Source organism: Homo sapiens, chromosome 9 (assembly GCF_000001405.40).
Source record: "Homo sapiens chromosome 9, GRCh38.p14 Primary Assembly".
NCBI classification, from domain to species: domain Eukaryota; kingdom Metazoa; phylum Chordata; class Mammalia; order Primates; family Hominidae; genus Homo; species Homo sapiens.
The window spans coordinates 126,147,951-126,171,518 of NC_000009.12; the positions used below are offsets into that span (position 1 = coordinate 126,147,951).

General features: G+C 50.9%; 2 annotated features.

Annotated features, from left to right (window-relative positions):
- Positions 9,445 to 10,203: an enhancer, noted in NCBI's record as "VISTA enhancer hs1015". NCBI's record gives its function as "enhancer in: midbrain (mesencephalon)[4/7]" and the evidence as "EXISTENCE:transgenic organism evidence [ECO:0001131][PMID:17130149]".
- Positions 14,520 to 15,021: an enhancer, noted in NCBI's record as "H3K4me1 hESC enhancer chr9:128924749-128925250 (GRCh37/hg19 assembly coordinates)". NCBI's record gives its function as "activates a minimal SCP1, AML or CMV promoter by ChIP-STARR-seq in naive and primed H9 embryonic stem cells {active_cell/tissue: H9 hESC(naive and primed)}" and the evidence as "EXISTENCE:reporter gene assay evidence [ECO:0000049][PMID:30033119]".

Here is a 23,568-nt window from a genome sequence, read left to right on the forward strand (position 1 = left end):
GCGACAGCTGCTTTTCTTCCATGTGAGAACCGTTTATGAGAAAGCTAACTTAGAACCACTCCTTGGTGGGGGGTGGCAGGGGGAGTCCTGGCTGCTCTGCAGAACAGATGTTCCCTGGCAGAAATGTCCAGACCCTGAGGCCTGGGACCAGAGAGGAAAGTGGGGTGAAACCAGGTGGGACAAATCTGTGTTTTTACACCATCTTCGGGCACCTTGTTGGTTTGCAGGGGACCCAGGAGAGCACACTTTTCCTGGTGAGAACCACCGGCCAAGGATAATCCTCCAATCAGAGCATGACCAAGAAGACAGTGCACCAGTCATGGTCCTGCCAAGCACTGGACCTGTTGTCTTGGTTTGAGCTGCTTCACAGGCAGAACCTGAGAGGATATCAGAGCAAGTCGTATATCTGAGAAGTGATCCCAGGAAACACCAGCAGAGAGTGGGGAAGGGAGACAGGGAAGAGAAAGAGTGGATAGAAGATGAGTTGTCAGACAAGCTGCCATCATGGGCAACTGGAGTAGAATCTGCTGGGGAGCTTCAGGAGACGCAGGGCATGCCTCGGAGTTAACCCAGCTGCCGGACAGGACAACTTGGCTGTTTACCGGTTGATGTCTCACCGTACGTCATTGTCCATGTCTGCTTCTAGGGGCATGAACTCTCTAGACCTCTGCTTGCCCTGAGCTTGTGCCGCACCTACCAGCCAATAGCACAGGGAAAACACAACCTGCCACTCAGGTAACCCGCAGCCTTGAAAGGATCTCCCATCCTGCTGGTGGCCCAGATGTGGCCGTCCCTTCGTTCTCCAGCGCCTGTGCCCATGGGCTACTTCTCTGCTTTGTGCCCCATGCCAGACTGATTGCAGAATTCAGCATCTCCGTGGGGACTCCCAAGTAGAAGGACCAGTGAATAATGTTTGCTGAGTATTTTTAGAGACAATAGAGAAGCTCTTCCTCCCTTGTTCCTCTGCCCAGGGATTCTTTGCTGTCCCCTGCCTCTCCCAGTGGCCAGCCTGGTGGGCTTGTCTCCTTCCATCCCACCCCACCACAAACTTCTTAGCCCTCTAGGATGTAGAGCAGTTCAGCTCTACTTAGTCTCTGTCTCTAGCCTTGCTATTTCCGTACTTACCATGTGCTCAGAGAAGACTGGGGCCCTCTGGTCAGCAGGGCCCAGCCTCTTGGAAAGCAACTTAGCAACTGCCCTTTAGAATGTCACCACCAGTAAGTGGATTGTCAAGGTGGTTCTATTCAACATGGATGATTCTAGGGAGATGGCAGGGCTGTGCTTTGCCAGATAGCTGGGCCCCCAAGGCCATGGAAGTATTAGTCAATAATCTCCTTTCCTGGCTGGGCGCTGTGGCCCACCCGGGTGCGGTGGCTCATGCCTGTAATCCCAGCACTCTGGGAGGCTGAGGCAGGTGGATCACCTGAGGTCAGGAGTTCAAGACCAGCCCGGCCAACATGGTGAAACCCTGTCTCTACTAAAAAATACAAAAATTAGCCGGGTGTGGTGGCAGACACCTGTAATCCCAGCTACTTGAGAGGCTGAGGCAGGAGAATCACTTGAACCAGGGAGGCGGAGGTTGCAGTGAGCCGAGATTGCGCCACTGCACTCCAGCCTGGGCGACAAGAGCGAAACTCTGTCTCAAAAAAATTAAAAAGAATCTCCTTCCCTACCATGTTGGGGTACTGGGAGGCGAGGGGTACTCTGCCCAGGGGTGCTGTGGCCAGGGCTTGGTCTGAGGCAAGTCAGCAGGGCCCAGCCTCTCCAGAGGGCATTTAAACCTTCAGGGTTGAAGGGTTTGGTGACCTGAGATCCATAGCCCAAGAGTGTCTCCGGTGGACATAGGCTTACATTCAAGCTCCACAGGCCTGCAGTCTGGATGGAGATAGAAATGGAGCTGGTCCAGGGTAGTGTCCTGCCCTCTTGGGAACTCAGCTGGGAAAGCCTGTCGAGAGGGGGCAGTGCCAGGAGGAGTGAGGTATGGAGGCTGCAGGGAGAGCCCCAGACATTCCAAGAGCCCTCCCTGAGGGTCCAGGGAGGGGCCTCTTGCAGACATACATCTGGGCAGGTCTGGATAGGTAGTGACTCCACAATGAGCAGGAACAAGTTTCCTCAAGGGCCTTTGCCTGAACTGTCTCCTCTGCCTGGAAAACTCTTCATACAGCCCGCTCAACGAATCCCTTCATGTCTTTTACGACTGCATAAAAGACACTTCTTCAGGGAAGCCTTCCTGGATTTCTCAGCCTTGCTCAGGCCCCAGTGCCACACACTGCTATGGGCCCCTGTGCGCCCAAATTACAATTATTGTTAAATATTATATTCTTTTAAAGTGTAATGTATGCACTACACTTTAAAAGAATACAATATTTAACAATAATTGTAATTTGTTCATTATAAAAATGTTTCTCTTTTCCTCTAGGCTGAACTCTATGGGGTCAAGGTCACGGTCTGTTTTGCTCCCAGCTCTATCTAAAACACTGCATGGTGCCCAGCAGACAGTAGATCTCATTACATTGTGAATGGATAATGGGTGGATGGAGGGAGGGGTGGAGGGATGAAACAGGCTTCCCTTCTGTGACACTTCAGTAAGCCTATTTCCTTTTCCTCCTTCATTCCCAGTCTCCCTTGCAAGCAGATGTAGTCATGTGGCTGAGTCTGACCCATGTGACTGAATGCTGCTGGAAGTGAAGTACTCCTAGGGCTGATCTGTGTGGCCCCTTCTACAGAGAACTCTGAGGCCCCAGGGAAGAGCAGAGCCACGGATGGAGGGTGCCTGGGCCGCTGAATGACTGTGTGGAACAGAGCTCAGCCCTCCCCACTCCAGTGGACTTTACCCCTTTTCCCAAGTGGGAAATAAACCTCTATTGTGTTAAGCTACTGAGGTTTGGCAGTTATTTGTTACAGAGGCGGGTATAACTTGTCCCAGCTAATACGTCCCTTGGGATGGATGCCCTAGGAGGAACCAGGTCTGATCATTTCTCTGCTTTCAGCGTCTCTGTCTTGTTGCCACCCTTGATCAGAATGGGCTGGGTGGGTTTCCAGGAAAGAGGAAGAGGTCATTTTCTAACATTTGTTCCTCGTGCCCACCCTCTCCTGGGGAGGTGGGAGTGACTTGAGGACCTGGAGTTTCTATCTGGAGTGGTAGAGACAGTGGATGGGAGTTGGACTCTGAAATCAGTTGTGTGTTCAAATCCCGGTTGTGTCCGTGACCTCTGGACAGTCGCTTGTCATTTCCGATAATGATGCCTGCACCATGGAGTTATGTAAACACTCAAAGAGCTCGAATGTGAAGCACTTGGCGGAGTGCCTGGCACCCATAGAAGGGAGCGATCATGATAATTACGATTTTCCTCAGGTCTCAGCGTCTCAGTTGCAGGAAGCTCTGCATTGCAAGCCTTTTGTCTCATTCCATTTTCGAGCCAGATGGCCCCATTTTTCTCCCAGTTTCCGCGGTTCTTGAGCTGCCCCAGTGCCTATTACACAAACCCCAATGCATCTCTGAAGTTAGCAGCTAATTATGTTCCAGGAAGTTATAGATCTGGAGTTTTTCATGTGCCAGAGGCAATTGCCTGCTCGGGCTCTCATTTTGCAGAGCAGCCTTCCAAGGACTGATTGGGAGCCCCTTCCCCTGGCCCCAGGGGCCTTGTGGGACCAACCTCTCTGCACCTCGGGGAGTCAGGGTGCCCCTTCCCTGCCTCCCAGACTTTACTAGCTCTGGGCCTCCCTCACAGCTCCTTACAGGCTGTGAGGAACGTTCGGGCTGTCTGTTCTGGGCTGGGAGGTAGAGGGAGTGTCAGAGAGCCCTTGAGAAATGTCCCTCCCTCCTGGGGAGGCACAATTGGTCCTTCATTATTGTGAGTAATAGTTTTTGCTGCTGAGCAACTGAGTGACTTGCGTCTGTTTATCGTGTAAGGGTTTGCCCTGACCCCCTGCCCCACAGCCTCCCTGAGCTGCCTCTCCACCTGGGGCTCTCATTTCTGCCTCTCCCCTGCAGCCAGACAAATACCCCTGGCTCCCAGGGCTCCACTCCCCACACTGGGCTGCCCTCCGGGGACCCAGTTTCTCCTTCCTTAGGCAGCATTCCCTTGGAACTAAAGTAAGAGAAGTGAAGTGCTCACAGTGCAAAATGTAACAAGGTGCTTACACTCTGGTGCCAATTGCACACTTGTGCACACTTGCACACCCTTGAGAGTGAGTGCCTCCTTAGGTTAGGTGCCTCACTGGCTTCTCCCTAGTCTGGACCCCACCCTAGTGACCCCCTGCCCAACTCTGTGGGAGGTGAACTCCCCTGCACACTGCTTGGCAAAGATTTCCTACCAACTGCAGCTGAGCTAAAGAAAGGAACCAGGGCTGCCCTGCTCACTGTCATCTTCCCATCCTTAGCACATAGCACACAGTGGGTGCTCAAAAAACGCTGCTTCCCAACCACCATAATGAGATGTAGCAAGAGATGACTTGGCAAAGCACTGAGTGACATTCTGAGCATGCAGTAAGTGCTCTGTCTATGGAAGGGCCATCTGAATCGACCATCTTCCATTCATGATTTCACGAGGGTAGCATTAGATTGAGTCTGTGATGCTGGTTCATGGGACGAGGATCAGGGTGTTTAAGTGGAATCCCAATTCTTAAAGTGTGACACACCCTGCAAGAGACCTCTCATTTCTAATGCATACCAGAACCTGTGCTGGGCAGCCCTACGTTTTCACCCCATTTGATTTCATTGATTTTATTGACAGTTGTTCCTGCAGCATAGTAATCCATGCTTGTTTTGGCCTTGAATCTTGTTTGGTCTATGTCTGAACAGTTCTGGAAAGTCCCAGCAAAATCTTGCATAACACTGCCAGGCACAGTACTAAGCACCTCCACATATGTTAGATCATTTGATGTCTGATCTCAGGCTGTATTAATAGAGATATGGAGTCTAGAACAAAGGAGGTGATAGTCTCCATCATTTCCGAACTAGTGAAAATTTATCCAAAGTGTTGCTTCCTTAGGGAGTTTCCTCTCCTCAGGGAGTCTCACTTTAAGAAATAACTTGACATTTCTGAGTGAGCTGAGAGCCACCCAGATGCAAAGGTAATCAGGATTACAGATGAAGGCTATGAGAACTTTGCACATGGATGAGAAGGGTTGTTGCCTTCAATGACATGATTTAACTTATTTGATGAAGGGTTAAACTTAATGGTGGGAGTTAGCTTCCTAGTCCTGGCTTGGCCCAGGTGGGCAGTCTCCGGTGAGAGCCATCCAGCCATGGAGTAGGCTGCTGGCTGCATAGTGAGATCCCTTCCACCAGAATTAAGCAAATCAAAATGGGATATTCAAGCTGCAGAAACAACTGTATGGAAGGGATAAGCTCCTAAACTCTTTCAGATTTGCATCTGGGAGCCTCTCTGAGCCACAACAATTTCAGTTATCCACCCATACATGTATCCGTTCACCCATCCACTCATCTACTCACCCCCCCATCCAACCACTCATCTATCCTTCCACCCACCCATACATACATACAATTCATCCATCCAAGTTACCCATCCATTTAACAATTCATCTATCCATCCGTCCGTCCATCCATCCATCCATCCATCCATCCAGTTCATCCATCCATCCGACAATTATCCGTCCATCCACCCATCTATCCATGCATCCATCCATACATTCATCCAATCATTTATCCATCTATCCATCCACCCATCCATCCACCCAATTCATCCACCCAACAATTCATCCATCCATCCATCCACCCACCCATCCACCCAACAATTCATCCATCCATCCATCTATCCATTCACCCAATAGCCATTGGGCCTCTGCCTTGTGCGAGGCACCCTGTCAAGCCCTGGAGGAGCAGTGGGGAGAACTACATACAGCCACGGTCCCTGCCCTCATCAATCTTCCATTCTAAGGGAAGAAAAACAACAAAGGCTGATGAGCCCCCCAACAGGAAAAGGACCAACTTCTAGGGAGAATTTACATCTGGATTATTTTGTGGCCTGAGGTTTAGCTTGTCACTTCAGTGATTTGCCAGTCCTTGGTGGGTCATCTGGGTCACTGAGAAAAATGTGAAACAGGATAAATTGCAATCAGTCCCCAGCCCCTGACTAGAAGATGGGCATGCCAAGGTTCCCCTTCAGAACCCTAACATCTTACACAGTGCTTGGTTCAGAGGAGGAATTCAGGAAAGGTTAGATGACTAGGGAGGTGGAAGGATGGATGGATGAAGGAGGGATGTATGGAAAGACAGACAGATGAACAACATGACTGAGGCTAGAAGGCTTGCCATGACTGTAGTGAACTGGAAACTGGTGTTCAGAGCCCACCTCCATCCCTAGCCAGCCAGAGGGCACCTCTCAGGTGCTGCATGGTCTATGGGTCCCAGAGCCTTGGCCACCCTTTCCTGTCTGGTGCCCACTAGGCATGACCCATACCGGGCCTGTAAGGCAACCAGAGCTCAGACGGAGCAGCATCCACTGCACTGCCAACTGCCTCCCTGAGCTGGGTCTCCAATTTCCACTAACGATGTCTGTCTGCCCCTTTCTAATGGCAAGATCGATCTCCTCAATGGAGAAGTTGAAATCAATAGAGCAGTTGATTAGTTCTGCGTTCTCCCTGCCATCTGTTACTAGTAAGACAGTGTCACGGAAAGGGCACAGGCCTGGTGTCGGGCAGGCTGGGGTGAATTCTGCCTCGCCCCCAGCACTCTTGCAGCAAATCACATCCCATCTCTGGGCCTCAGCTTCCCTGCCTCGGAAATGGGGATAATACTGCTGAGTTTGCTTTGATAATTTGTGAATGCCTGGCACAGGGATTGGAAGAACAAGGAGGGTAGGTACAGCAAGGGCTCGTGGGTCCTGGCAGAGGCATGTCTGTGTGTCTGTGTGTTTTGACAATGAACTTCCAGTCTCCTGGGAAGACAGCGAAAGGACCCATGACGTTTGGCCCCATGGTGGTGGCAGTGCACCTAGGAAGAGCCTCAGACTCAGGTTCAGAGGTTTTGTGAGACTGCTCAGCAGGAAGGTGAGCCTGAAAGGGAATGGACCTCTTCTGCACACATGCCAGGCCCCCCAGCTGCTCGAGGAAATGGGATTGGGGGCTTTGGGGCCCCAAAGGTATCCCTGCACAGCCCTGAGCCCTGGGGCGCAAATGCCCCCAGGCTGGAGGAGTGAGGTGCCATCATCCTCAGGTTCAGCAGCAGCGAGGAGGGTCCTGGGAAAACCTGCCCCCTCCTGGAAACTTTTTTATTTTATTTTATTTTATTTCATTTTGAGGTAGAGTTTTGCTCTTGTCACCCAGGCTGGAGTGCAGTGGCACGATCTCAGCTCACCACAACCTCCGCCTCCTGGGTTCAAGCAATTCTCCTGCCTCAGCCTCCTGAGTACCTGGAGCTATAGGCGTGCACCACCATATCTGGCTAATTTTTTGTATTTTTAGTAGAGACAGGGGTTCCCCATGTTGGCCAGATTGGTCTTGAACTCCTGACCTCAGGTGATCTGCCCGCCTTGGCCTCCCAAACTGCTGGGGTTATAGGCGTGAGCCACTGCGCCTGGCCCCCTCCTGGGAATTTTATAAAAGACTTCCTTATTTATTGTAAAGTAAATGTATTATGTTCTCCTGGTTATAAAGCCAGTAAGGACCTAACAAATACAAAGAAGAACAAGAAGAAAATAAAAAACATCCTTAATTCTATCACCTAGAGATACCCACCCTTACATATATCCTTCTTTTCTTTCCTTTTTTTGTGAATAATATTAAATATTGCTGCTATGGTTTCCTTCCCGTCCGTGGCTGACTGCACACGCCTCACTCAGCCAGGCCTCGGTGGCCCATGCAGTGGGAACCCTTTTGCTAATGACAAAGTGAAGGATCAGAGAGGTGAAGTGCTTTGCCAAGGTCACTCAACTTGAGAGTGACAAATGATTTATGCGCTCAGCTAACTTGAGTGACGGCAAGATGGGCAGGGCCGGTGTGCTGCTGAGGTTTCCATTCAGGTGATGGAGGTGGACCTATCTGCCCGGCCCCAGTGCTCCTCACCTCTCCCTCTACCTCTGAGGTACCCCACCCGGCTTTCTTAGGGATGTGTGCAAAGTGGGGACTTGTATGTGTCGTCCCCTTGATGCTCTCCTGTGAGCCCTGCCCGTACCACCCTCAAACAACAGGGTTGATTTTAAGGCCCCAGGGCAGCCCATCGGGTGAATGGGTCTCAGATCTTCAACTGTGGGCCCCGGGCATATGGAGACACAGGGGTTCATTTTGGGGTCCCTATGGGCAGTGGCCACCTTGCCACCGGCCCTCTAAGGTTGGCTGAAACTCTGTGACATCATGACAGGCTCATTCTTCCCAGTGCGGGGCCCACACAGGGTGTCAGAGCCCCTCACAGCCCTAGGGCCCATCTGCCAAATAAGGAAAGAGGCTCAGGGAGACGCCATCGCTTGCTCAAGGTCACAGGGCCGTGGAGGTAAGAGTCACCCTGGTCTTTCTGAGTCATGCACCTGTGTCCCTGACCTTCCATTGGCTTCTAGAGTGAGGGCTTCCATTCACCCTCAGCTGTCAGTGGCCCACGATCCAGGGATGTCCTGCAGGGAGTGGGCCGTGCCAGGCACGATGCCATAAGAACAGGGACAGTTGGCAGATGGTGGGGGCGAAGGTGGTTCTGGGGCCTCACTGTGCTGTGTGGCTGATGGAGGTGGGGTCACAGCAATGAGAAAAATCAAAGACAGTGATTGACAGATATAGCATCTACTTTCTCCTGCACACGTCTGGGCTGAAAGCTTCTTGACGTGGTCCTCCTCTGACAGCAGCTGTGATTCTGATCTCACCGATTCACACTTGCACACACTCACACACTCATCCAATAGTCATTACGTCCCTGCCATGTGCAAGACACTGTGTCAAGCCCTGGAGGAGCAGTGGGGAGAACTACATACAGCTACCGCCCCTGCCCTCATCAATCTTCCAATCTAAGGGAAGAAAAATAACAAAGGCTGATGAGCCTCCCGACAGGGAAAGGACCAACCTCACCCTCACATACACATACTCACACCTAAGCGCTTGTGTGCAGACACTCACAACACCCTCACACATGCACGCACACTCGTGTGAACATGTGCATACTCTTCTCCACTGACACTGGCTCACACCCATGCACACACGTGTGCACCCATACACTCACACGTGCACACACGTCTTCCCTAGGCACGCGGCCATTGCCCACATTTGGTTTCTGGTGGGCGTTTTCTGTCTACCTTTCTGTCCCTCTCCTCCCACTTTCTGTCTCTGTGGCTCACGATGCCTCATCTTTCTACTTTTCTTTATTTCCCACTCTTTCGTTCCCTTTCACCCTCTCTTCTGTTTCTTTCTCCCTCTTTGCATTTGCATGTCTCTTTTTCTTTATGTCTTTCTCTCTTCACGCTACATCTCTTTCTTCCTTCCCTGCCTCCCACTCTGCCTGAGATCGCTCTGTCTCCTTGACCCCAGTGCTGGCCCCCTGGTGTCCCCTGGGCTTGGAGAGGCAGCCAGGGCCAGGTGGGGCCAGGCCGGCTGGCGCCCCCACCACCACCCCCTCCCAGCACATGGAAAGGTGGCTCTTTCCGCTCTGCCTGGCGTGGGTGCGGTGATTTCATCTGCCTTTGGATATGAAGCTCAAATTGCACATCAAAAAGGATAATGCATCTTTAAGCTGTTACAACGACTTCTCAATTTTTCATTTCCTGTCAGGGTGGGAGCTGCAGGAGGCAGGGGCGGCCGCGGAGCCTGTCTCCTGCCAGTGAAGTGTCTGCCTGGATTTGAGCAGTAGGAAACCCAGGGGTGATAAATCGCTATTTCTAAGTAAATTTCATGCATTTGCCCTTTGGTTAAAGTCTCCCCTCTCAGCACTTTCCCCGTGCACACAGCCCGACTAATAACGCGCCGTGCAAGCTCTCTCCGCTGTGACAACTGATTGCACTTTGAAGTAATAATGGCTGATTTAATAATTGGTATAATTTTTCACTAGTACCTGAATGTCATCGACGCACAAAATAAGCTACCTGGACCCATGGCTGCAGCACTTTCCCTTCTTGGGGAAATCAATAATGCATTAAACCCCCAACCCAGGACCCCAAGAGGCCAGACCCTAGTGGAGGCTGTTATAGGGGGAGGTTTGGGGTCTCTCCATGGAGGCTTAATGGCAGGAAAGCTAGACAGAGGCTTTCAGATAGGCTAGGTCCCTAAGCCCAGCCAGGCTGCAGGAGAAGAGACCGAGAGCCGTGAATCTCCCCCAGACCCAGCTCACCCTCTAGGTTCCACCTTGGCAGCTTCTGTCTCCACCCGTGAAAGTCCCCTGAAACCCCCACTGGGGACTGCAGAGACGAAACCACCTCTCCGCCAGCATCAGCCGCCATGCACACAAACCACGTGTGCATGTGTCTGTGTTTCCGTGTGGGAATTGAGTTCAACTTCATCATTATTTAGAGAGGCCCTGTTATGAGCCAGGATCTGTGCTGGTGACAGAGTGGTGAGCAAGACAGACATAGTCGCTGCCCCCAAAGAGACTGTGACCTCTTAGAGAGTGTGAGCATGCGTGTATGCGCTGACGTGCGCGCGCGTGCGCGCGCACACACACACACACACACACGTGCGTCTAGCTGTCTCTGTCCATACAGTATGTGTTGTGTGTCTGTATTTATAAACGTGTGTGTCTGTCTAGGTCTGTGTGTTCAGGTGATGTGTGAGGGTGTCTGTGTGAAGATCAGGGTGTGAGTGGCCGCTCACTCTGCCTGGCTGGGCCTTGAGAACATGTCCCTTCCTAGACCTAAGGCCAGGCTACTTCTCCAAGTTGAATTGGGCAGGGGGCAGCAGGGAAGAGACCCTGGCACTGCCAAGGTCCAGTCCACCCACGCCTCCTCATGGCTCCCTGAGCTCTCCCTATTGTACCCTCCTGCCTGGCTTCTGCCCAAGCCACCTGCCTGGACAGAATACCCCTCCATGCAAAGCACACAAACTCTGCAGTCACATCTGGATCCTGTCCTCCGAAAAGTCAGACACACATAGCTCTGAGGCCATTTCCTCATCTGAAAAGAGGGCACAAGAATCCCTGACTCCCGGTTCTGTGTAGCATCATGGATGCAGCCTTCTTAACCCATGCCTGGACATAGACAGTCCTCCACAAACATTAGCTCCTCACTCTCCATCCTGTTCACAGTCACCTCCTGTGAGTTCCCTGAGGACAGGCCATGGCACGTAGCAGGCACACAGTGAATATCTGTTAAACAGATGTGTGGGCTGGTTTGTCAACCATTAACATAGACTTGGAAAAACCAAAGAGCTTCGGTCATGCCTGCCTTTGAGGTGATGGGGCTGGGGCAACCTCTCACCCACTGTGCAGTTTGTCAGAGTTTTGCAGGAGCGGGGGGGTCCTTGTCCCAGCAGAGCTGGAGCCCAGACAGGCCTGGATGTCCCATCTCCCCCAGCTCTCTCCCCTCCCACCCGCCGCTGTCTGGCTGTGAACCGGGAAATCGATTTCAACTTCATCTCATCTCAAGATCAAACGTCTTAAGTGAGATTATTCACGTTCCTCCATTGTTTCTAACTCATTTCCTATTTTCCAGTTGAAAAACCCTGCCAGAAGCATTCTGTGGCAGAGATTAAAACAATTTCAGAAGCAGGCACCCAATCCTTCTCTTTGGATGGTAAGCAAATTGGATGTCTGTGAGAAGCCGGCAAATTTTATTATGAACACATAGTTTGCTACTTAACTATCCTTAAGACCCCGGGTGCTGTGAGGCCCCAGCAGGAGGGCTCCAGAGGGGGCAAGATGAAAGGTAGGGAGGGAGTGGGGGTGCAGCAGACCCCCAACCGGGCCCCCAGCCCTTTCCTGCAAAGTGTGAACATCGGATCGCCATCCACAGCTCGGTTTCCTGGGGAAAAGGGAGGGAACCCACATGTTCTGGTACTCACCAGGCCCAGGCACCACGCTAGGCACTTCAAATGCCTGATTGCTCCGAATCGCCACAAAACTCTCGGGGAGCTGGAATTGCTTTGACCGTGTTGTAGATGAGGAAACAGACTCAGAGAAGAGAAGACATTGCCCAAGCTCTCCCAGCAAGCGGTTAGCGAGTGGGAATTAGAGTCCAGCTCATGTTCTTAACCATCACTGTGGGAGATTATTGCAAAAATGGCTGTAATTCTCACCTCTCCTTGCATCCCCAGAGTGGAGAGTCTAGTTCCCTATCCCTGGATCCTGGGTTGGCTTTGGGCAGTAGAACGTGGGGGAAGAGCCGTGTGCTAGGTGCAAGCTTAGGCCTCAAAAAAGTCTTGCACACATTTGTGCTCTCTCTCTCTCATTATTCTGCCCAGTTGCTGTGTGGACAAGCTCAGGCCAGCCTGCAGTGGGCAAGAGACCACTGGCGCAGAGCTCAGTTGTCTTAGCTGGGGACATCCTGTCACCCAATCCTCAGACATGTGAGAGAGCCCAGTCAGGAGAGCAGAGCTGTGGAGCCAACCCTCAACTGAACATAAATGCATGAATGACCCCAGCTGAGACCAGAAGAACCACCCAGCTGGTCAATAGAAATGCGAACAAAGATAAAGTCTTATTGTTTTAAGTGACTATAAATGACCATAAAGTCATACAACAGCTGATACAACCACCGACGAGTCCGAGGACCTGGGATCAGACTCCCAGATTTTCTCCCTCGGTCCCCCAGGCCCACATTGCATATTTACTTTGTGCCTGCTCTGCGGTAACTGATATGGGGGGTGGGGGGTGGATCTGGTTGCTGTTCCCACTGCTTGGTGCATGTGACAAAGATACAGGCTTGCCGCCCTCAGGCCCTGGCACTTCCCCTGACTGCTTCATCCTGCTACTGTCCTTAAACTTGTCAGCCTTTTCCATTAGACTCCTTAATGCCAACAAAATGATAGGGTCATTTAATGATCACCTACTATGTGCTGTGTTTTGTACCCAGCATTTCCTTCCTTCCTTCCTTCCTTCCTTCCCTCTCTCCCTCCCCTTCCCTCTTTCTTTCTTTCTTTTTCTTTCTTTCTTTTTCTCTCTTTCTTCTTTCTTTTTCATTCTTTCTTTTTCTTTCTTTTCTTTCTCTTTCTTCTTTTTCTTTCTCTTTCTTCTTTCTCTTTCTTCTTTCTTTCTTCTCTTTGTTTCTTCTCTTTCTTTCTTTTCTTTCTTCTCTCTCTTTCTTTCTTTCTTCTCTTTCTTTCTCTTTCTTCTTTCTTTCTTTCTTTTTCTTTCTTTTTTTTCTTGAGAGTCTTGTTCTGTCACCCAGTCTGGAGTGCAGTGGTGTGATCTTGGCTCACTGCAGCCTTGACCTCCTGGGCTCAAGTGGTCCTCCCAGGCTCAAGTGGTCCTCCCACCTCAGCCTCCCGAGATGTTGGGACTACAGGTGCCTGACACCTTGCCCAGCTAATTTTTGTATTTCTTTTCTTTTCTTTTCTTTTTTTTTTTTTTATAGAGACGGCGATTTGCCATGTTGTCCAGGCTAATTTGGAACTCTTGGGCTCAAGCGATTTGCCCACCTCGGCCTCCCAAAGTGCTGGGATTACAGGCGCGAGTCACCGCGGCCAGCCTGTGCGCAGCATTTTCTTTGCACATCTCACTGCATCCCCATCACAGTCTTATTACTTCCCATTTTATAGATCAAGGTGCTGAGGCTCAGTAATGTGTCCCCTAAACAGTATGTGGTGGAGGTGGGATGGAATCCAGGCCTGTACTTTTGTCTGCCTGACCTCTTATAGGCTGAAAACCTCCTTCTAAGTCCTGGGGTCTTCTCTGAATCCGGGTCATAGAAGCTCCAGTCCTGCATCTTTTCGAGGCAGCATTTCTCAGATCCTGAGCCTCCATGTGTCAGGGGCATGGTCTAGAGCCCCCAGTCTGACCAGGGGGGCACTTCCCAATCTTCAGGGGGTCCCAACCTTGAAAGCAACCAGGAATGCTGGATTCTGATCCTACCACACCCTTGGGAAAAATCTCTCTCTCTTTTTTTTTTTTGTGACGGAGTCTTGCTCTTGTCACCCAGGCTGGAGTGCAGTGGTGCAATCTCGGCTCACTGCAACCTCCACCTCCCAGGTACAAGTTATTTTTGTACCTCAGCCTCCCCGGTAGCTGGGATTACAGGCACGTGCTGCCACGCCCGGCTAATTTTTTGTATTTTTAGTAGAGATGGAATTTCACCATGCTGGTCTTGAACTCCTGAGCTCAGGTGATCTGCCCACCTCGGCCTCCCAAAATGCTGGGATTACAGGTGTGACCCACCGCACCCAGCCAGGAAAATCTCTTCACCTCTCTGGGCCTCACCTTCCAAGTCCACCCAATGGGCTGAGAACTGCTACCTCAGGGCCTCCATCTGGGGAGAGGTGGGTGAGAGGATGGCGTGGGCTTTCCAGGTTTGGACTGTCTGACTGAGGTGGGAGAGATGTGGTTCCTGGGGAGGAGGAGGTCTGGGCTGAGGAGGAGCCTGGGGTGGGTGGAGTCCGCAAGGTCTGGAAGGGCGGGGGAGCCAGAATGTTGACCAGGCACCATTTCTAAGCCAGGGCCTAGGCCCAGACAGGGGCTGTTATCATCCCCGTCACACAGATGTGAGGTGTCATGAAGTAACCACCTCTTTCAGCTGCTTCTCCCCTTTTCCTCCTCACAGAACCATCCCAGGTCTCAGACTGGCCCCAGAGCCCGGGTGTCCCCGCCTGTGGTGGCCCCAGCTTCTGAGCCAGCTGTGTCATAGGGTCCTTCCCAGTCTCGCCCACCACCAGCTGCTTTGGGCCACAGGGAGCACGTGCCTGGGGCTCTGTGTGACCCCTGGCTCTGTTTCCCTCCCAGAGGGGGCTGCTAGGCTCTATCTGTGTGAAGGTCATGCTATGCAGGCTTTGGCTGGTAAGCTCCTGGCTGGAGCGACCCCCCGCCCTGGCTTCAGCCCTCCCTGCCAGGTAAGAGGAACCGGCCCCAGTGATTAGAAGCTGGCGGGGAGCATGGGAGAGGCTCCACTGAAGGGAGGCACAGTGGTCAAGGGCACAGGTTCTGCAGCTGGGGGGTCATCCTGGCTGTACGCTGCAGCTGTGTGACCTCAAGCTCATGACTCCACCTCTGAGCCTCAGCCTCCTCAGCTGTGGAGGGTGCTGGGGAGACCCTCGCCTCCCATGGTTGTTAGCATGAACTGAGGCGATGCATGTGGGTGCTGAGCACGAAGCCTGGTGCATGGTCAACCCTCAGCGAATGCATCTAGCTACCCTCCTCCCTTTCCAGAAGCTGCAGCGCCAAGGGTGGAGTGCTGGGGCCAGGACGGGGAGGGCCAGGGCCAAGGAGATGGGCTCTAGGGACAAGACAGATAGGAGCTGAAGGGGCCCTCAGGCGCGGGGACCCTGAACCCCCCAGGGTGACAGGAGACCAGCGTGGCCCTCACCAGCCAGCATCAGGTTCGTCATTTTCTTCTCCTGTCCTCTCAAGACTGGAGGTTCCCCCAGGCAGAGCCTGGTCTGCTCTGTCTCAGTGCCCCAGCACCCAAAGGAAAATCAATGACTTGCTCAGTCTTGGGTGTTGGCAATGAATGGTGTCACTGTCCTATCTTGGTTGAGGGGGAATCCATTCATCAGCTTGGAGGGTACCACACCCTGGCGCTGAGTGTGTGTGGCTTTAGCTGAGGGGATCAGGGACGCTCTGCAGGGAATTCAGAGCTGGCGTCTGCGTTGGGCAGGGACCCAGCTCTTTTTCCAAGTGGGATGAATTTGAGATCACAATAATAACAACTCCTATCTATTGAGACCTTACTCTGTGCCAGGCACCATAAGTGGAGCCTTGCCCTCATGCCTCCTTCTAGAAACTTCCATATGATTTCCATTTTCAGACAAAGACACCGAGGCTCAGGGAAGGTGAGCAACTCACTTAAGGTCACCAAAGGCAGAGCTGGGACTTGCCCAAGATCAGTCTGGCTCCAGTACTGCGGATATTCCTTCTTTTCAGTGCAGCCCCCTCTCCAAGCTGTTGAATGGAGTCCCCCCCAACCGAGATAGGAGACTGATGCCACTCACTGCCACCACCCAAGACTGAGAAAATCATTTATTTTCCCTGTCTATAAAACGTTTCACAAAGTAACAAAAAGTGTAATGTGCAAGATCTTCAGAATGACCTTTAGAAGAAGTGACCACACCTTAGTGGTTCTTACCCTTGGCTGCCCATGGGCGTCACGTGGGAGTGTTAAAAAGCTCTGAAGCCCCGGCCTCACCCCCAACCAGTGACGTCAGACTCCCTGGGGTGTGTGGCCCAGCATGGTGTGTTTCAAAGCTCTTGAGTGGTCCCTGTGGGCAGCTGGGGCCGGAAACTGAAGCCCAATGTGTCTAAGCTGCATGCGTCTTTTTTTTTTTTTTTTTTTTTTTTGAGACAGAGTCTCACTCTATTGTCCAGACTGGAGTGCAGTGGCACAATCCGGCTCACTGCAACCTCCGCCTCCTGGGTTCAAGCAATTCTCTTGCCTCAGCCTCCTGAGTAGCTGGGACTACAGGCGCCCGCCACCACGCCTGGCTAATTTTTGTATTTTTAGTAGAGATGGGGTTTTACCATGTTGGCCAGACTGGGTTCGAACTCCTGACCTCAGATGATCTGCCTGCCTCAGCCTCCCAAAGTGCTGGGATTGCAGGCGTGAGCCACCGCGCCTGGCCTGTATGTGTCTTTCTTGCGTACCCTGATGGCTTCAATTCTCAGGTTAGCTTAAAGCCATTCTCATCCCAATTTAATTGAAGACCCTTGGTGAGTCCCTTAAACCCTCATGTGGAATCAAAATGTTGTGCTGTGGGGAGATGGCCTGAGGTTCTAGAACTCCCTGGCACTAGACCGTCCTTCAACAGGGCTTTTCCAAGCCCGTTTGCCCCCGGGCCCCTTTATCCCAGCTTTCTTTTGCCATCATTGTAACAGTCATCAACACAGCCCAGCCTGCTAATGAGTAGCCCCATCTGGGCACAGTCAGAGGAGAAAGGGTCTCTGCCCTCCAGGGACCAACGCCTGTCTGGGGAGGCAGCAATCCAGACTCGGATGAAGCCCTGGACCCCTCCTGAACCCCACGGCTGCCGGGGAGGTGGGGTGACTTCATCTCCACACTCTGGATCTTCCCGGGCGGTTCCCTTAGCAACAGGGCCTTGCTTTGACAGCCGCCTTCGCAGACAGTCTGCTTTCCGGGAGGCTCTTTCCACCAACCCCATCCTCTCTTCCAGTGGAAATTTTTGCAGGGGCTTCAAGCAGAGGCTCAAAGCAGGCCCTTCCTGACCTGTGGGGCGTCAGGCTGCCCCTGGACCCTACAGCCTTCCTGGACTGTTCACCAACGTCCCATACACAGGGCCTGCTCGTTCCTCCGGCTTCCCACTTCCTCCTGTTCCTGCAGGTCCTAATGAATTCAGTCTTGCTCTTCTACCCGCCCCCCACCGCTGCCTCCTTGCTTTTTCTACCTCCCGACTTTCTCTTCCCCCGACACACCTGTGCCCCACCTGCCTCTCACCCGCACATGAGCAGTTAAAGCGTCTGCGCTGACATTTAATGTTCTTAATATAGGCCTTGGTGACAGAGGGAAGCGGGCACAGAGTCCCCTGCTGGGCAGGGGGCTTTTCATCCCCTCTGCATGGGCATGGAGACCTTCCCTCCCCCAGTCAGAGGACAGGATGGCTTCAGTGGGGCCCACAGCTGCAGGCATTGCTGGCGACCATGTACTGAGCCCTGTGCAGGGAGCCTCTGGCCCCACAATAACAACTAATAGTATTCCCATTTCACAGGCTAGAGAATGCAGCTTCAGAGAGGTTAGCTAGCTTACTTAAGACCATCAGTTAATAATTGGGGACATCGGTAGTGACAAATATGAAATATTTTTGTCTCTGAGCACCCACCCAGTGGAAAAGCTGGACACCCCATGCCCCCGAGAGGGTCCTCATCAAAACTTGCAAAGGAGGGAGTTTAAGCTCAGCATCCACCTATAACCACAGTGCAGTGTGCTGGGGGAGCCCGGCCCAGGGCACCCAGTTGCCATGTGGTTTGCAAACAGCCAGCTGCTGCCGCCAGCTCTAACCCTGCCTCCGGTGCCCTCTCTTTATTGTCCTTCTGTTGGCTGCTGTCACTGATGTGGTGGGAAGAGGACTCCTCTATCAGCCCCCTAAAACATGGCCTGTGGGCAGCGGTGATGAGTTTGGGGTGAGTTTTCTGGCTGATGAGTTAGAGAACAATGGAACGATTCGTCCTTGGTTCACTCCTCGAAGAACCTCTTTCCACCAACCCATAAACTTAGGGCAGAGGCCAAGCAACTCGGTGTGGAAGGCAAGTGGTCTTGCTTCTTATTCCAGAGCCATAATCTCATTGCTCTGGCTTGAATGAAAATCCCAGGTCACCATCGTTCATCACCATTATTTCTCCCCAAAGGTCCATGGAATGCCATTTCAAATATCTGCTCTGGGCTTGGAGAGACCTGGGAGTCCATAGTGCAGAGGGGAAGCTTGACACCTGGGAGGTGGTGACTCCCTTGAGCGCAAGTCTAGGGGAGAGGGACACTGGGGAGGGATTCTGAGGGACACTGAGATGGGCTGGAAGAGGCCAGAAGAGGAGGCTCGGTGGCAGGGAAGGTGGAGAAAGTCCAAGGACGTGGAGTCAGGAAGGCAGAGGATGTCTCACTGGAGAGGGCTGGGAACTGGGTCAGGAGCTGCCATGTTGGGAAGGTGAGGGCTACGAAGCAGTGACCGCATTTAGTGACAGGTACATCATTGTTGATCTTGTTGGACGTTGTTTCAGTAAAGAATTGGAAAAAGAAGCCAGATTTAAGCAGGTCAAGGAATCCATGGGAGAAAAGAGAACAGAGCAGACAATTCTTTGGGGAATCCTGACTGTGAGGTCCCATACAGACATACAGAGAGGCTGAAGGTGAGGAATTGGTTTTGTTTGCTTGTTTTCGGGGTAGAGAGAGACTCGAGCATGTTTAGATGTTGATGAGAAGTCTCCAGCAGAGAGGGAAGGGATGGCTGGTTGGCCTTGGTCCCCAGAGGTGGAGGCAGCCAGCAGCTGGAATACTGGTACTGATGCAGGATTCATTCTATAGAAGTCCCAGTCTCCTCCACCAACCAAGAGGGAATGAAGTGATGGGGAGTGCTGATGGAGATGAGCCTGCACGTTCAATGGGGAGGGAGCGCTATGGCATCATCCTCTAACAGACAGGGAGAGGATGGTGAGCGGGGGAGGTTTGAGGAGAGCAGGGAAGGTTGGCAAGAATGGAGGCCAGGACAGAGAGCTGACCAGGGGAAGAACTGCTAGGCAACGATGGGAACCGTTAGAGGCTGGGGAACCATGAAGTTATCACGGCATCAACTGTTTAGCCAATCCTTTGTGATGTTCTATATTCCGACTTTTTGTATTAGTCAAATAAATTTGGGAAATATGTTGTATTTCCCATATAACATATTGGTATAATATGTTATACTAATAACAAGATTAGTTAAGCCAACTATGTTGCATCAATATGATGAAATGTTGGATTTCTCAGAGACTTTGATATGCTCATGTATGTTGTAACCTGCAGAATTGGCAGGTCCAATTTTATTTTTGACCACAGTATTTTTTCCTCACAAACCATCTCATGGTCTAGTGTTCTATTCAGTGGTGTGCTCGAGCTGGCTCATAAGAGCAAAGGTATGCATCTGTTTTTAATTTCTTGTCCAGTGACATCGGTGTGGCTTGACATCAGCCATGGTAGCAGTGTTTAGACCACAGAAATGGGCAAGTGCTACAAATCAGGGTTATTTCTCCTGGACAGCTGGTTGTTAAACACTTACCATTGCACTTCAGATATCTTGCACTGGTCAATGCAAAAGGAAAGAAACACAATAAGTGGTAAAACTATAAAAAAGAAAGGCTCAAAATTATTTTTCACATATTTTATGATTATTTACCTAGAAAATTCAAAAGATCAACTAGGGACTATTACAATTAATCAGAGAATTCAGTAAGATGCTGACTTAAAAGATTTATTCAAAAATCGATGCCTTTCCTATGTACTAGCATTAATCACCTAGAATATATGATGGAAAAAAGATGACATTCACCGTAACAACAAAAATAGAAAATATCCAGCAACAAACTTAGCAATAAATGTGTGAAGCTCAACTTAACATAAAAGTAGGAATTGACTATATGGAAACACCTGCTGTGTTCATGGGAAAGAAGATGAAAATTTGTCAATTCCATTAAGATTAATCCATACATTTAATTCCATTCCAATTAAATCCCAAATGTATTTTCTTACTTGCAATGTTAGCTCACTGGGAATTATAAATAGTCAAGAATGCCTAAGAACATCTTGATAAATGCAATTGATTGGGGCAAAAGCAAATTTTTTTTTTTTTTTTTTTTTTTTTTTTTTTTTTTGAGACAGAGTATTGCTCTGTTGCCCAGGCTGGAGTGCAGTGGTGTGATTTCGGCTCACTGCAACATTTGCCTCCTGGATTCAAGCAATTCTCCTGCCTCAGCCTCTTGAGTAGTTGGGAATACAGGCATGTGCCACCATGCCCAGCTAAATTTTTTTTTTTTTTGGTATTTTTTAAATAAAGACAGGGTTTTGCCATGTTGGCCAGGATGGTCTCAAACTCCTGAGCTCAAGTGATCTGCCTGCCTGGGCCTCTCAAAGTGCTGGGATTACAGGCATAAGCTACCACACCCGGCAGAGGCAAAAGCAACTTCTAAGGTCAGATATTAAAATGCAAGAAGCAAGAGGGTGATGCGGTGTTGTCACTGCTCCATTGCCCACGGTGGAATCTTGGTTTCTAGAACAGTACCTGGTCCACAGAACTACTCGATACATATTCATTGAATGAGCAAGTTACTGAGTGAATGAATGAAAAAAAATGCATCACGAGGATATTATAGTTCAATACACTTTGAATTGGTAAAATTAAACACATGATATAAAAAACATGAGTATACATAACTAATATATGATAAACGTGGCATTTCAAATCAGTAGGAAAAAACATGAGTTACTTAAAAAATAGTGTTGGGGTAATTGGCTAACCATTTAAAAAATAATAAAGTCGGGCAGGGCGCAGTGGCTCATGCCTGTAATCCCAGCACTTTGGGAGGTGGAGGCAGGCAGATCACCCAATGTCAGGAGTTTGAAACCAGCCTGGCCAACGTGGTGAAACCCCTTCTCTACCAAAAATACAAAAATTAGCTGGGCAAGGTGGCGGGCACCTGTTATCCCAGCTACTGGGGAGGCTGAGGCATGAGAATCACTTGAACCCCAGAGGCGGAGGTTGCAGTGAGCTGAAATCGCATCCCTGCACTCCAGCCTGGGTGACAGAGCAAGACTCCATCTCAAAAGGAAAAAAAAAAAGTCACACCATCGGACATATGCTAATAACAGGATTGGTTAAGCAAATTATGTTGCATCAATATGATGGAATGCTGTGGACCCACAAAAATCATGTTATGAATGATATTTATTGGCATGGGTCATGAAATTGCTCAGTGGAAAAGGGAACAGGAAACAAAATTGACAATGTAGTTCAAAAGACAAATGAAGGAGTCAGAGCTTGGATTCACATTTCGGCTCCATGATTGCTAGTAAGCTGTGTGACCTAAAGCAAGTTACTTAGGCTTTCTGTGCCTCAATTTCCTCATGGCCAAAACAGCAATAATAAAAGCACTTATTCATTCTTGAGAAGGATGAATATGAGAAAATGCATGCAAAGTACTTGGCATTGTATCCGGCACATAGTAGGTGCTCTGTAAATGTTCGCTGTTATCACAGCATTTACTGAGCACCTCCAGTGCCCCTGAGGGTACAGAGATGTGTGGGACACAATCCTTGGAGGTGCTTACAGGCTGGGAGGGAATGAGGAGATGAAGCCTTCTGTGAGCAGTTGATACCTACCTTATGCGTTAGGTTCTCCAGCAGGGGAAGCACATGCGTTCTGGGGACAGAGGAGGAACCTGGCCTCACCAGCAGGTAAGAGAAGGTTTGCCCTGTCTCCTTAGTCTTGAAGAACCATCAGAAAATGAGAAAGAGGAGTGTTCCAGGCTGCAGGAACAGCTTGGGCAAGTGAGAAGCGAGCCAGCTGCATGGGTGTATTGATGATGTTGAGGTAGGGGTGAGAGGTGAGGACGGAGAGAAAGGGGAGAGCAAAGGATTGTGGGTACCCAGTTAGTCATCTGTGGTCTACTAGCATGGCAGGCAGAGGGCTGCAGTGTCGGATGGGCAGTTTATAATCACTGCCCTGGCTGCTGGGTAGAGAGTGGATTGAATGGAGGAAGCTGGAGTCAGGGAGACAGCGAGGAGGCCAGTGTGGACACCCGGTGGAAGTGACAACACAGGGAGGTGACACAGGAAGGAATGAAATGCCTGAAGCCAGTGTTAAGGAGCCAGCTCCAAGGACCAGGGGCAGATGGGATGCTGTAGATGGGATGGAAAGAGCCCAGGGCAACACACGGGACTCAGCCCCAAGCCCCGGGGAGGATGGTGGAGAACAGGAAGAACAGGCTTACGGGAAGGTGGGACATGTTGATTCTGGACAGTTGATGAGAAGTGCATCTGGCCTCCAGAGATGGCCCAGAGCAAGCAGAGAGACCCTTGGCTCTGAGCCACCACAACACCCTGTGTGCCAGAGAGGCACTCCCAGGACACCAGCCTCGTGTGGAAAGAAGGGCCAGGAGGTCTTCCTGGGAGCACTGTGGGACAGGCATGGCATGGAGGCCAGCGGAGATGCCCAGGAGTGACTGTCAGAGCCACAACAGGAGGAACCAGAGGGCTTCTTGACATGGCAGCATCCCAGGAAGGAGAGGATGGGAGGAAGTGAGTTGGGGACAGAGTCAAACAGTCAAACAGAGACACAGGAGACAAGAAGAAGGGCTCCACGGATTGGCAACAAGGGTACCAATGGGCAGTTAACATGACCACATTCAGTGGAGGTGGGAGCTGGGATGGCACATGGTAGGGTGGGGGCAGCCAGCTCACAGGGGCCCAGAAGCCAAATATGTTTATGTATTTATTATTTATTATTTTTAGAGACAGAATCTTGCTCTGTGGACCAGGCTGGAGTACAGAAGCATGATCATGGCTCACTGTAAACTCCATCTCCTGGATTCAAATGATCCTCCCTTCTCAACCCCCCAAGGAACAGGGACCACAGGTGTGCACCACCTCCCCTGGCTACTTTTTTTTTTTCTTTTTTTTGAGACGGAGTTCTGCTCTTGTTGCCCAGGCTGGAGTGCAATGGTGCGATCTTGGCTCACTGCAACCTTCCCCTCCCGGGTTCAAGCAATTATCCTGCCTTAGCCTCCCAAGTAGCTAGGATTACAGGCATATGCCAGCACCCCCGGCTAATTTTGTATTTTTAGTAGAGATGGGGTTTCACCATGTTGGTCAGGCTGGTCTCGAACCCTTGACCTCAGGTGATCTGCCCACCTTGGCCTCCCAAAGTGCTGGGATTACAGGCATGAGCCACTACACCCAGCCTCTTTTTTCTTTTTTTTTTTTTTTAAATTGAGACAGGGTCTCAATCTGTCTGTCACTCACTCTGTCATCTAGGCTAGAGTGCAGTGGCATGATCTCAGCTCAGTGCAGCCTCCACCTC